The sequence below is a fragment of the Homo sapiens genome, chromosome 3, assembly GCF_000001405.40.
Source record: "Homo sapiens chromosome 3, GRCh38.p14 Primary Assembly".
Lineage (NCBI taxonomy): Eukaryota > Metazoa > Chordata > Mammalia > Primates > Hominidae > Homo > Homo sapiens.
This window is the reverse complement of record NC_000003.12, coordinates 105,810,127-105,825,641: the sequence shown is the minus strand read 5'-3', so window position 1 is coordinate 105,825,641 and position 15,515 is coordinate 105,810,127. Positions and strand designations below refer to the sequence as shown.

General features: G+C 35.6%; 1 protein-coding gene across 43 annotated transcripts in view; it reads left to right on the top strand.

The window, feature by feature from the left end:
• Window positions 1-15,515, top strand: part of CBLB (Cbl proto-oncogene B) — a 213,989-nt gene that overhangs the window by 43,808 nt on the left and 154,666 nt on the right. The window contains exon 2 of one of the 43 annotated variants that reach the window (XM_047449116.1): window positions 1,401-1,519. The exons of the other annotated variants lie outside the window; for them this stretch is intronic. The gene's annotated coding sequence lies outside the window, so the exon portion shown is untranslated. The remainder of the gene's footprint in view (window positions 1-1,400; window positions 1,520-15,515) is intronic. 43 annotated transcript variants of the gene reach the window in all.

Sequence of the window (15,515 nt, the reverse complement as noted above, 5' to 3'; positions counted from 1 at the left end):
TGTTAATCTACTGTAGTCTCAAATTTTTATTCATTAATTTATTTATTCATCAGTTCCTTCAGTGATATTTGTTGAGCGCCTACTCTGTCCTGGCACTGCTGTAGTCACAGAGGACAATTATGAGTTACTGAGCCTGACTCCTCTCCTATATGGATTAGAGAGTGAACATAAAATATCAGGAAAACTAAACAGTTTTTACATTTTGCTTTGAATGTTTTTTTACTTTCCTCTCCGCTTCCTTTCCCCCCTTCTCTTCTTTCTCTTTCCATCCCAGGTCCTCCTTTTTCTCACTATCTGAGAGTCGGAGGAAACAAGGAGATGGGAATTTGGAGTGGAAGATAGGTTTAAGGAGATAGTTATCCCACTCTGGTTCTAAATTCTTGCACAATATCTGATATGGCATTAGCTGAAGAACCATGACATGATTGATTTCTTTTTTTCATCCCACTAGTATATGTTACAGGCTCTCAGTGTGCCAACCTTGTTTGAGACACAAAGGATTTAGTAGTGAATAACCTAGATGCAGTCCTCATGGAGCAGACGCTGTGATGGAGAAGGTAGACCACAAGGAAATCAGCATATACAAACATGCTATAATTTCAGTTAGTGATAAATCCTATAAAGAGGAATAATCTAGGATAGGAGGAGAGAAAAGGAGAGATGCCTTTATAGTAACGCTCTAGGTACTCTTCTGATTACACTCTAGGATTGTGTATATGGCTCTCTCATGTCCTAACACTTTTGCAAAGAATGGGGATATGTTTCTTTTAGTAGGTCTAAGTCTAAACAAGAGAAGGTGGAATGATGAGGTCTCCTTCTCAGTGGCTGGAGTGAAGTGGAAGGGTATAGGAGGCTCCCCTTTCGTGAATGCCCTTGCTGTCTCATCAGGGACACCAGATGAGGCTGAGCTGTTAGCTTCCCTCTCCAAATTGTCATTTCTGCCACCTTGAATCCCACAGTTGGCATAAAAATCGTATTTTAAGATGTTATTACTATAATTTAGTTGTGAATAGGAATGGGTTATGTGATAGGCATCAGGGAAGGGCACAAAGAAGAAAGGGGCCCAGAGTGGGGAGATTGCAATTCGCTAAAGTCAGGCTGACTCTACTCCACAGCCCTCCTGACCTAAGGCTGTGTTTATGATATTCAGTCCTCTTACGTGACAGAAATATGTGGTACTTGGTTTAGGTTCCAGGTGCATATTTGTTAACTAAAGTTGCCTTGCTTGGGTGGCAAAAAACTAGCCTGTAGTCCATTTTACAAGCATAAGCGGTGAAGGTGTTTAAGATTTGACTTTGCATCCATGGTAACAGTCTCCACCAATAGTACATGTTACAGAGCCCTTTAGGCCTACAATTGTACTGTAAAGACAGACTGTAGTGACTTGTCTTTCTTATCAGGACCCCACCCTACATGGATCCTTGAAGAGTGAGCAGGACTGCAGAAGGAGCTCAGGTGGATTTGACAGCTTATAAACCTGGAGTTTGGGGAATGCTGAGGCTTCAGGAAGAAAACACCAGTAAGCTTAAGTTTGGGATTCCCACTACTCAGGAGGACTGATGATGGGGACCAAAGTTAGGAAAGCAGAGGAGTTTTGGAGAACCTATGAGTTCAAAAGGGTGAAGTAGGAAAGGTGAGAATGTGAGGGAGAAATGTCAGAGTTTATTTGGATTCTTTTAAAGAATAAAATAGAACACAGTGGGGAGATTCAGAGTCAGCTTGGTAGGGTTGAGTTTGAGGGCCTAAGAAGGAAGAGAGTGATGGAGACATTATAAGAATGGAAGCTCAAGAGAACCATGTAGGTGCTTTGTACCCTGGTATGGAGAATTTCTGGGTGCAGAGTTCATGGACCCTGGCGAGTAAGAGCTCAACACAAGAGATTAGTTGCTACTTGAAATAAACATGATAATTGTGGCCCAGACAGAAAAGCCTCCTCTTTTTCAAAGGTCAAGATTGCTGAGGTACATGACTCAGACCTTGCATAGCAGTAGGAAGAGTAACCAGCAGCAAAGCAATAAGTTGTTTATCAAAGGGTGCTGGTGACTCAGTCAGGAGGATTTGGAATAGAATGATTGATTTGGAAGTAGGTTAAGCTAACCAAATAATATGAATCTCCTATGTGTTTCTTAAACTGATTATTTTGAACTCAAGATTCTCTTCTAGTGTTGTGAAAATAGTTTGTGATATGAAAATGTATATGCTCAATTGCTGTGACCACTAAGGGAGACAGGTATAGCAAGAGAAATAATGGTTCAGTCTGGAGGGGAAGCCATCCCTTCTCGCCCTTCCCCTACGTTGTGTGGATGGAAGGTCTCCAAGAGAAGCATCTATGAGATTAGGCCAGGGAGCCTTCTGTTTCAGGGCCACCCCATTCTGTGTGGTTTTATTTGTCAGAGACGCTGATCCTAACAGAAACAGCTGTTTCAGTGAAGTTCAAGCTTGCCATCTATTTTCAGTAGAAGCAGGAAGAATGTCAGAGACAATGTTTGCATTTTAGGGCCTTTTTATAGGAGCCTAAGATAAAGCTGTTTAAACCTTCTGTCCTCTGTCATTTAACTTATCAAATTCAAGCAGAGCCTTTTAATTTCAACACACTTAACTTCTAGGGATGAATAGGGCATTGAACGGATTCTATAAACAAGTACTTTTCTGAGCGATAAACAGGAACAAAAGCAGCACAAAGATAGCATGTCAACAAGGTAGGGTGTATTGTGAGAAGGGCAAGGCTTGAGAGCCTAATCTATGCTATTCTGGGGAAGCAACTATGTTTGTTTGTTTGATTTAAGGAGCAGTGAAGTTACAGAGAGCAGAAAATGCTGATGTACCTGAAGGCCATTATTCACTTCTGTAGACAGTGCTACTGGGTGAGAAGTGAATAATATTAGTAATATATGTTCATTAATTAAATGTAGCTTTTAAAAGAAAACACAAGATGGAAAAGTGAAACAAAATGGATAGAGTTGTTTGGGTACTAAGAGTAGTAGAGTAGATTGAAGACCATTTAAATGGGAGGCAGATTTTCCCATGCATATCTAAAAAGGTCCTAGTGTTATCCCTTCACTCCATTTTAGATTTGTTTGTTTAGTTTGGCCCTGAGTATGCTAGAACAGATAATAACCTCCCAGCAAATGTAACTGAGTGGGAACATTATTTTAGTTCACTTTCAAAAGAAGAGGGAGATCCAATTCATAATACCCAAAATAGAGAGTACCGGTTAGTTCCAGAATTGACCAGCCATGGAAAGACATAGAAACTTTGCCTGTTAGAATGCTCATCCTGAGAATAGGACCTGAGCTTTTAGAGGTGTTAGATGACTAGAAGGCCTTAGAACCATTAAGGCATTTTATTTCTTTCACATTCAGCCAGCTTTCCTTGAGCAGCTTTTCTATGCCTCTTGCATTTATAAATACTTAAACATGTTATCCCATTCAAAAGTGTAATTTGTTGATACATTGGTTCAACACTGCCATTGTATATGTGTGTGTGTGCACCATATATGTTCATATTATAGTTGCAGATGAATAAAAGATAATGATAAATAATAATATAAGTTATTTATAATAGTGTCAATTGGTTAAATAACTTATACATCCATATGATGAAACATTTCCATTTTTAAATATAATGAGCCACATTTATATGTGCTGGTATGGAACAAGCAAAAAAAATGTTAAGATGCAGAAAGATGTGTTTAGTATCATAACATTGAGGCAAGCAGAGATACACACAGATGCAGACTTCACATCTCTGTTCATTTATATTTGAACTATGAGAAGAAGTGAGAAGGGATGAAATCATGACCTTGAAAATAAGAAGCTGTTTCTTCCTCTGAGGTAGGAGGGAAAAGAAGTTGGGTAAAGATATGAAATGGTGAAACATTAGTTGAGGAAGAAAGGACAAATCAGTGAGCAAAAATCCTGTTTTTGTTTTTATAAACATTTCAATCCCGGGCAATCTTGAGAAAGCCAGGGTCATAGGTTGGATGATTGCAGTACTTTCTTGTGTGTTCAAAGAGGAAAGTCCAAATGCGCATTTGGCACTGGCACTTCTGAAAAGCCCTGACCTTTGTAATCAGGTTCTTTTTCTACCTGCCCTGCAAAGATTTCTTTTTGTTTTGTTTTGGCAGTAGTGTTTATGTGAACCTGTACCCTTACTGTGAAATTTTAACTTACTGTATAGACTGGTTTGTGTGATGGGCTCCTACCTATTTTAGGACTAGAAAGGACTGATTAGATCATTTGCTCTGGCAGTTGGCTTTTAGGAAGGTGAATGTGTAAGCCTTTGAACTGTTCGGCATTGAAAGATTTATGGATCTCTTAGGCAGTTATATCACCATTTGAATAGTAGGTGATAGATAGATAGATAGATAGATAGATAGATATAGATATAGATATCTGATCTTTAAAGGACCAGGATTGTAGAATAATGTTAGCTAGGTATGTAAATTATGTTGTGTTTGGATGTATTTTGTTTTTGGATGTAAGGGACAGAACAAGTACATGGATCAATTTTCTTCATCCTATAAATTTGGTAAAACAGAAACAATATGATGTTTATTTCTTATTTTGTATTTGTATAAAAAATGTAAGTGTTGGGGATCATTGTCTCTTATGGTACCTCACAACCCATCACTTTATATCCTACCTTCAATGATATAGGTAAAAGGTATATTTTTTAAACCAGATTTTACAAATTTCCATTAAAATGTTGAATTTTTAGTTTTTATAAAACTAAAATTTTGAGTAAAGAACAAAAAGGAACAGAAAATAGTGAAGAAACAGAAATAGAGAACGAACTTCCTAGGACTTTTTAAGCAAAATGAATATTCAGGCTAATAGTTCTATTTATTTCCTAGAAGTAGTACACAGTCTAGTTTTTCTTTTATACATTTTCTTGATTTTAGGGTATAAAATTAAAAAAAATTCTGAAGAATTTCTTTCTGTGCTCTTTGAGGTTTTGCATTTTTATCTGGTGTTTGTGTAAAATTAATTCAACTTAATTATGGGAGGGGTTTAAAACAAATGATACTCTTTCTAAGCTGGGACAAGTTATTTTCCTTAGTCACTATAGGAACAAAGAAGGAATGAGTGGCAGAGTAGAATTGCTTTTGTTGAGCATGAGCTCTGATATCTTGGCTGTACTGTTCATTTACACATTACAAATATTTTCTTAGATTCTAAGTAAATGTTACCCCCTGCCCCCGAACCTTGCTTCTACTATTTTAAATTCTTTCTGCTAGCTGCTTCTTTCTGAACCCTAACACAGGGGTCCTTAACCCCTGGGCCACAGACCGATACCGATATCAGGAACTGGACGTACAGCATGAAGCAAGTGGTGGGCGAATGAAGGCAGCTTCATCTGTATTGACAGCTGCCCCCACATTGCTCACATGACCACCTGGGCTCCGCCTCCTGTCAGCTCAGTGGTGGCATTAGATTCTCATAGGAGTGTGAACCCTATTGTGAACTGTGCATGTGAGGGATCTAGGTTGTGCTGTCCTTAAGAGAATCTAGTGCCTGATGATCTGTCACTGTGTCCCATCACCCCCAGATGGGACCATCTAGTTTCAGGAAAACAAGTTCAGGGTTCCCACTGATTCTACATTATGGTAAGTTGTATAATTATTTCATTATATATTACAATGTAATAATAATAGAAATCAAGTGCACAATAAATGTAGTGCACTTGGATCATCCTGAAACCATCCCCATGCCCCTGGTCCATGGAAAAATTGTCTTCCATGAAACCGGTCTCTGGTGCCAAAATAGTTGGGGACTGCTGCCCTAACACATGTAGGGTAAGTGGGATTTCACATACAGGTATAAAGATAACATTTTCATTTTAGGAATATATTTTTCCATATAATAATAGGAAAATTGTGTATCAATGAAGTTTTGGAATGGTTTGAGACTCTCTATGTAAGACAGTGAGTCCAACTGAAAGGAAGCATGGTGTCCGTTGAATGAATTTTGCTTCTTATCAATTCCTGCAAAGTTCTGATGATATCACATTTGTAGAAATGAGAGCAAAGATACAAACAAACAAAACAAAACAACAAAATACTACTTGTCACTTTTGAGGAGAAATTGAATTGTTTCTATACATCTTACTTTCCCTTCATTATGGTTTTTCTTTCTTTCTTTTTTTTTTTTTGAGAGGTGGAGTCTTGCTCTGTTGCCCAGGCTGGAGTTCAGTGGCACAATCTCAGCTCACTGCAACTTCCTCCTCCTGGGTTCAAGTGATTCTCCTGCCTCAGCCTCCTGAGTAGCTGAGACTATAGGCATGTGCCACCACGCCTGGCTAATTTTCGCATTTTTATTGGAGACAGGGTCTTACAGTGTTGGCCAGGCTGGTCTCGAACTCCTTGCCTCAGGGGATCCACCCCCCTTGGCCTCCCAAAGTGCTGGGATTACAGGCGTGAGCCACTGCACCCGGCCTCATTATGTGTTTTGATGAATCTGTTAATTTATGCTCCAACTTAAATATTCATATTTACTTTTCTCTTCAAGTGTTTTCACCATTGTTGACTATATTTAACTGATATATGAAGCTAGATTTAAGTTATATCTAACATTTTGCAAAGTATGCTTGAAGCAGAATGGAGTTATTGTATAACTATACATAAGCAGAAGTTCTATTTGCAGATTCACAGATGCAATTATGAAGTTAAGTCAGGGATAGTTGAGTTGAAACAAACTTTTTCACTATAGTTTTGCTTCCTCATGTAGCCATTTTATTTTTTTTTACAAATTAATCTAAATCTCTAGACTTTCATTTTTCTATATCCTATATTCATAAATTACTAAAGGTTTTAAAGTAATAGAATAGGTTAAAATAGCTGCATACTCTTCTTAGAATTTTGCATAAAACTAATCTTCACAATCTATTTTTCTGAACATCTGTATGCTTTTCGTATTTAATTTATTGTTTAAAGAATTTTTGCGGTTTCTCTTGTGTTTAGAGTTACGTAAACAGCATTTGCATTAGATTCAGTGGTAATATACAGTTGCATTATAATATACTTACTATAAAAAGTAAAAATTATTCATGATTTTTTTGCTGGTAAGTTTGAGTTTTTAACGTAAATTAAGTTGCCTTAATTTCATAAATTTCAGTGCAATTTCTTAGCATTTTTATTGAAGTGAAGAAGCTATGTAGTCATTGTGCCTTATTTTTAAATTGCTCTGGTACTTTCAGTAGGGAATATTATTAACATGAACCCCATTTCATTACTTTTTAAATGTCCTTCTAGTTGCCCTAAATGTATTGTAAGTACCTGGAGATTTTATGTCTCAAGCCTTCTTTTTATCAGTGTGGATGTATAATCTCCATAAATGTCAATTGGTAATGATGATGAGCCATTAAAATTAATAGCTTATTTGCTAAATTTGATGCTTTTAAGTCTAGGATTCGATTTTACATGATTAGACCTATAAATACATTTTATTATTACAAATTTATTTGTGTCCATTCTTTGGAATAATCATTCTGAGAAGTTTCTTTGGGATAAGTTTTCATTAATTTTGATGAAATTTGTGGTGTTTTTGAAACAGCCACTTTAATATTATTGTGACATATTTAAAGGAAAGCACATGGATTTCTGGAAACCAGAATTTTAAACAAGATAATATAATTACATCTTTTGGGAAAAAAATTGTTTATTTTCACTAGTGTGTTTTATTCCAGGAAGCAAGTTTCATCATCATGATTTAAAATAATAAATTGAAAGACATAAAACTTAATAATGCAAATTAGCTTTTGTTGGTTGTGATGATGTACTTTGCTTTACGTGTATTTATATAACACCTCGGATACCCAAAATATTTATTAAATACCAGCATCTTTCTCACATTAACCTGAAAACTTACAGTAGTCACTTTTCTGCTTGCCTTTATTGCCAGACTAGTGGCATACACAACTGTCTTTTCTTACAACTAATGCCTTCAGTTATTTCTTAGATATGAGCTTTGGTATGTTACAGTTTTCAGAACTTGCTCAAGTAAGGCCTCATTCGGCCTCATTGTTCAACTCAGTGGCTTGGGCTCTGTTGCATCTCCCGATAGTTTTTTAGAATATTCACTACTCTAGTTTTCAGTGACATCGTCTGTCTTGGTTCTTCTGAACTACTTAATGTGCATTCCTCTTGTAGGGTTCTCATCCTCCTAAATGCCGGTATTCTCCAAGGCTGCTTCTTTTAGTGTCCTCAAGCTTCAAGTCACCCATGGCTACTCATCCTTTTCTTCTATTTACCATCTTCAGTTAGTCCCAAGTCCTAGAATCTCCTCTCCCTTAAAAATAATCTTTGCTGCTCCTCCTTGTCCCCTGTTCTTGCAACTGTGTTATTTCATCCTTCCCTTACTCATGATAAGATTACTGATAATGGCTGGCCTTCTAATATCTTGCTCCCCAATGTGCTAAAGCTAGAGAAGTCTTTAACACTTTAATCCTCTTCTGGGCATTTGCTTTTCTTGCAAAAGATTAATTATCTTCTTTTTAATCTGGTTTATTTTACATATGCCGTCTTATTTCTCACTACTACGGACTTGTCTTCTTCTCATTTTCATGCCTTCATAATTCTAAAAACATGTCATGCTAATTCTCCCACTCATCTGGAATCCTACACACCCAGTTCCTGTCCCAGCTCTTCCATAAGCCTTTAGACCTTGCTGATTTCTCCTTTTGCTGAACCTGTCTTCACTTTTAATAGCATGCATACTGATGTATATATATCAAAAACCCTTTTTTTTTTAAACATTACTTAGAATTGTGGTGGAGTTGTCACTAAAGATTAAAAGTAGGTTCCATTAATAAGAGACCATATACTTTTTGGTATCCACCGCAGCAGTGCTGGGCCCATATTTTGGTGCTCAGTAAAGTTGATGATTGATTTAATTGATTAAATAGGTGATACTTCAACTTTCAAATAGAGACTTTGTTTTTAAAAAGTACTTAGCTTTATATTAGTTGAACAGCTGTGTACATGAACATGTAAAGTAGAACTTACTTTATGCACTATTTACTCCTGTAGTTCTAAAAATACTGCATTTTGCTTCTCTTTTTTTGTAAACTACTTTCTGGAGTGCTTTTATTATTTAAAAATGTACTTCTTATCATAGGGATTAGTGAGAAGTATTTATGAGAGTTCTGTTAATGTACCTGTAACCTTAGGTATACCCAGGAGCTTAACATTGCAAAAATCAAGCTTTTGAAGAAAGAATAGCTTAAGTGCTAAATTTGAAATTGCCTGCTTAGTAGTTTTCTAAATGGTTTAGAAAAAATTAGTTGACACGTTTGTTTCAAGTGATTTTGGAGCAGCCAATTTGTTCGTTTTTTAAAATTAATAAGGGCAGTCAATTTACTAATTTTTACTAATTTCATGGTTTTGCAAAGAGAAAAACAAGATCAGATGACATCATGCAATTTTTTTTTTCTTTTTTAAAAAATATACTAAGTTCTGGGATACATGTTCAGAATGTGCAGGTTTGTTACATAGGTATGCATGTGCCATGATGGTTAACTGCACCCATCAACCCATCATCTACATTAGATATTTCTCCTAATGCTATCCCTCCCCTTGCCCCCTACCTCCCGACAGGCCCCAGTGTGTGATGTTCCCCTCCCTGTGCCCATATGTTCTCATTGTTCAACTCCCACTTATGAGCGAGAACATGCGGTATTTGGTTTTTTGCTTTTCTCTTCCTGTGTTAGTTTGCTGAGAATGATGGTTTCCAGCTTCACCCATGTCCCTGCAAAGGACATGAACTCATTCTTTTTTATGGCTGCATAGTATTCCATGGTGTATATGTGCCACATTTTCTTTATCTAGTCTAACATTGATGGGCATTTGGGTTGGTTCCAAGTCTTTGCCATTGTGAATAGTGCTGCAATAAACATGTGTGCATGTGTCTTTATAGTAGAATGATTTATAATCCTTTGGGTATATACCCAGTAATGGGATTATGGGGTCAAATGGTATTTCTGGTTCTATATCCTTGAGGAATCGCCACACTGTCTTCCACAATGGCTGAACTAATTCACACTCCCACCAACAGTGTGTAAGCATTCCTATTTTTCCACATCGTCTCCAGCATCTGTTTTTTCCTGACTTTTTAGTGATCACCATTCTAACTGGCGTGAGATGGTATGTCATTGTGGTTTTGATTTGCATTTCTCTAATGGCCAGTGATACATCATGAAATTTCTTTCAGTTTCATTGGAACTGATAGAAATTGTCATTGATATTCCATTGTAATATAAAGCCATTAACAGCCTTTCTTCCTGTGTTTTTTGCTAATCATCCTTTGAACAGAACGGATGCTTTTGTCTTTCCTTTCACTACTACATTCTAAAAGAACAAAGATATTTTTATCATTCATTCAATAAAGAGTAGGTACCTACAGGTGTACAAAGCATTTTTTGTAGATTTAAATCTCAATCTGCACTGAAGGAGTTCTTAAATTAGGGCAATAATGTAGGTTTACAAAAGACAGTATGATTTTGCATGAAAATGCACTGGGAAGTGCTTTCATAGATGTATAAACACATTCTGAAGAGAGAGAATTTCTTATGCCTGACAGGGCTAATTACAGATAATTTTGTGAAGGAGCTAGCATTTGAATTCATCTTCGGAAGCAGTTGGGATATTAGTGGCTAAGGATGGAAGTGGAGAGACTGTACTGTGTGAGACACAGGGGCAGGAGATACAGGGTGTGTGGCATTAGAGGGTGGGGGGTGGGTACAAAATTTGGCTCTGGAGATAAGTGGGACCATATCTGGGAGGTGACTGAATCTTAGACTATGGATTTTCTTCTCATATTCATTGGACATGAGGGATAATTGAAGAGAATTTTCATGACCAGAGGTGTGTTTATGAAAATTTGTCAGCACTGTTGAGTATAAATTGGAGCATCATGAAATTGGTAATGAGGACGGTCCTAAACAAGACGTTGTAGTAGTATAAGTAAGAAATAATTGAAGCCTAAACTGAAGATAATGGCAGTAGGAATGGCAGTAGGCAAAAGAAGGAATGGACACAAGAGTGATTTCAAGAGACTCAGCATAACTTGCTGCCATATTCATTTATATTTCCATGAATCCTTTTTGTCATTCCTTAAGTACATATTGTACATGTACGCTATTTTCCTTCAATATATTCAGTGGTGGAAGTTAATTGATTAAACAATTTTAGTTTTGTAGCATCAAAGTCTGTTTACTCTTGTGACAAATAACTGAGTTCAGGTTTGTTACAGAATTTAAAAGAGTTAAATATACCATTTGCATAAACAAAACAAAAGGGAATCAACAGTCTCAGTAATACTGATTAATGATTTAGGTATATTGATAAATCCTCTTATCTGGGTTCTATGTTGTTAGTTTTATTTTCCGTCACATTTTGTTTTTCTTATCTCTGATGCACGTATAAACATAAAGCACACAAAAGCTTTAGTTGGGAGAATTTAATTCTTTCTGAAATTCTATTCGGATTTTGAGTCTCACTCTTTGATTTCTCAAGTTCTGAGTCATGAGTGTTTGGGCATAAAAACCTGATGATCTTTTTTTAAATTTTCATTAGAAAGAATTAAACAAGCAAACAATCAGAATTGCTTAATTGAACTACATTTGAAACCAAATTATAGAGGTAGTTATAATTTTATCAACTTTTTCTGTCCTACGATCTTTCTTATTAGACAAGTCTGATAGGCTTTGTAAGCAGTATATATGACAGGTTTTCATTGAAATGCTGCCAGTGTTGAAGAGGAGAAAAGCTGATTTTCCAGAAGTGAGAAAGACAAGGAAACAGTCACAATTTTTTAAGATTAGTTGAGGAATACCACACTTGGCTTCTTGTTATTGAAGTTTTTTGGTGTAGGTCTAACAATAAAAATCTTGTAATATTGGTTCCATATGTATAGCTGCTTACTTGTTTCATGTAATACTTTCATCACAAAAAATATATATCTAATATTTCTGTGATAAATTATAAATACAGTATTGGTTTTGGTCCTTGGAGGAATAACCTTACAAACCTTTAAAGACTTTTAATTTTAATTTTTATTTTCTTTCCAGCTTTATTGAAGTATAATTGACAACTGAAAGACTAGTTGGTAATTGAAATTAGGACTCATTTTTATAGTCAGACAATGTTAATATTTAGGAGGAGAAATGATGATTTATTAATAACTTTACTCAAAATACCATTGCATAAAAATTATACATATAATAAAGTGATTAAGGGGCACCCACTTTTTATTTACTAATAACTTAGAATATTCAGTAACTATTGTTTGTAAAATGAATTTTCTTTTATCCCCATGTCTGTCATTCTCCATTCTTAAAATATTTTCCTCTGTGAAACAAGCCAGCAGGGATAAGCCCCATGTTTTGTTTGATCTAGTTAATTTGACTTCCTTCTGTTTGCAATGTGTTATTATAAGGTGAAATATTTTCTGGAGTTGTTTCTTAATCATTTTATTACTCTTCCTTCTTGTAGGGAAATGGCGTGCCATTGTTTCCTTCTTTTGTTTGCTAAGTTACCTGAATTTTATCTAAGCCATAGTTTAGGTGGGTTAGCTTTAATAGTATTTGAAATACTGCTTTTGAATTAACATACTGCTTGTTTACTTTATCCTTTAAAATGTACTTTACCATTTAATTCTTTTAGTAGCACTGAGACATAAATAGGGCTGAGGATGATTTTATTTACATTTCCTAGATAAGAAAATTGATAGACTATCAGTTTAAGTAACGGCCTAAGATGACTAAGTTGAAATGAGAAATTAGGACTGACATTAAGATATTGATTTTATTTCAAACAGCATTCAAGAAGAAGGTTAGTAGTTATTTTAGATAAAATTAATATAGAAATAGGAAGCACAAAGAATAAGCACCCCACATTTCTGATAGATACCACATCTAAATATCACCTATAAGATCTTCCTGAGTCTAGCCCTTCTTACTTTTGTATCTTCATCTCACAGGGTTTCCCTTGTTTCTTTGCTGCATCCATGCTGACTCTTTTTTCCAGTCCCTTTGCAATTGCTCTGCCTCCTTTTAAAACAAAACTTTTGCCCTTGCTCATTTCTACTTGGAGCTGTCATTTCTTCCTCTTAGCATCAATAACTCCATTTTGCTGTTTAGATCGTATCTTCCTCAGAAAAGATGTTCCAGACTTCACTAAGTCAAATTCCTTTGCATAGCTCTTGGCACAGTTGTGGTGTTACTTTTGTGTGCATGTTAGTTTTATTCCTTCCTTTATCCCACTGATCTGAGTTTACAGATCAGTGGGATGTGACTGGTCTGTTTTTATTCATTCTTGTGCCCTAGGTGACTAATAGCATAGCCATTGAGACATAGTAGGTGCTCAGTAAATATTTGTTGGATGAGTGTTTAGGTTTAAGAAAGTATCTTTGCAAACATTTGCAGCATTATCTTTTAATATTTATAGCTAGCCAGTCATATATGCCAATTTCTGCATCTACCTATTTGTCCTCTTTAACTGTATATGCCATTAGCAGCAAAGCAGTAATATGGATATTACTGGCAGGTTTAAGTCATTGACAGGTAAGTTAAAACAACAAACAAACAAGAAGGGAAGGGAGACCAAGTATTTAAAAAAACAAAACAAAAAAAAAGGAAATGGGGCCAGGTGCGGTGGCTCATGCCTGTAATCCTAGCACTTTGGGAGGGCAAGGTGGCAGATCACCTGAGATCAGGAGTTCAAGACCAGCCTGGTCAACATGGTGAAACCTCGTCTCTACTAAAAATACAAAAATTAGCCAGTGGCAGGCGCCTGTAATCCCAGCTACTTGGGAGGCTGAGGCAGAAGAATCACTTGAACCTGGGAGGTGGAGGTTGCTGTGAGCCGGGTTCGTGCCGTTGCACTCCAGCCCGGAGAACAAGAGTGAAACTCCGTCTCAAAAAAAAAAAAGGAAGTAATTTTCGTAGGGTTGTAGAATTACAGAACTTGATGGAATACTGGGGTTTATCTAGGGAAATCTGTCTGTCTCTCTTTTAAAGCTTTTTATTTTGAAACTTTACCCAGTTTGCCTCAGTGTTAACGTCTGTAGCACAATATCAATAGTAGGAAATTGACATTACTGTCATCCACAGAGCTCATTCATATTTCTCTAGTTATGCATGCATTGATTTGAGAGTGTATGTGTGTGTGTAGGCCAGTCATTTTTAAGATAATAGAAGTTTATAAACTTGTTTCCGTGACTTACTCAAAGCCACCAGGCCATGAGGTGAAATAATTGGTTTTTAAACTCTATATTGCTGTCTGCCCAACAGCCATGAATTCTGTCATAAAATTCTACAGATATCAGGGATTGTTCATTAGCATTAGTGCCAGATTTAGACTAATCCTACAATATTGAAAGATACTAACTATACCTTTTAGCTAACTGTGTTTATAATGACTCAAAAAATTTAGTTCTATCAACTTGGATCTATGTCAAAAATTAGAATTAAAATCCTACTTTTGTTTTTGCCCAGCAGGACTTCTCTACTATTCAGGGAAAGGCCTAATTAAGGTTTCCTGAAAAATACTCTTTAATCACTTGGATTAGAATAAAAAAGAAATGCTTTTAATCACATACATATCTGCTAATGCTTTTCTTCTAGTATCTAATGGCTTTGATAATAAAAAGTAGTAATAAAACTGGAGAACTAATGGATTTTAAACATGTTTCTATACTGTACATATTATAAAATATGTATACTTAGTGCATTAAGTAGTATCTTAAACTTATACCTATGAAGTACTTACGGTCTAAAATTGATCAGGAGGCAACCTTACTTAGTATTTCCTGGAAGTAGCAGGCATTTACTCCTAACAAGAAGTACAAAGAAATTAATATAGAGTTTGATTCAGCGTTGGAGTCTGATTTTTAAAAATCAAACTAATTTCTGTCTTGCAAATAATTATATGTAATATTTCCTACTTTTTATAATTATAGAAACATGACAGAACTATAAATTATTTTCTGAATCTATGGAATATTATTGATTTGGTCAGTAAGTTATCTATCATTGGACATAAACAGAAGAGTATATAGGTTTCCTTTGATTTTTTATTTTGAGGTTTAGAATTAAAGTCTTATGAAGTTTAGCTATTTCTTCGCTAAATGCTTTAAGTTATACCCGTGCAAAAACCTCTGATTTGTTTTTGTAATTTCACTAAAATAGGCTAGTTGGTGAGCTGTGGTGTATGTCTTAGGAATTTAAAATAAAAATAAATATTAAACTGCTTAAGTGAATCTGGTTCACACACACAAAAAATCCAGGTATTTTAATTTTTTACCAGGACATTTTTTTAAAAAGATTTTGGGCCAAGAAACTTATTTTAGTAACAGCATGCTATAGTAAATGCAATTGGAAATGTAAGTAATTAATTTTATTGAATAAAATAAGAGCAAAACATTTCCCAATAGAAAATCTCTTTGAATTGGCACTATTTCCAGCCCAATTGATTTTTAAACAGGTATAAATTCATAGCAGAACCAGCTTAACTTAAT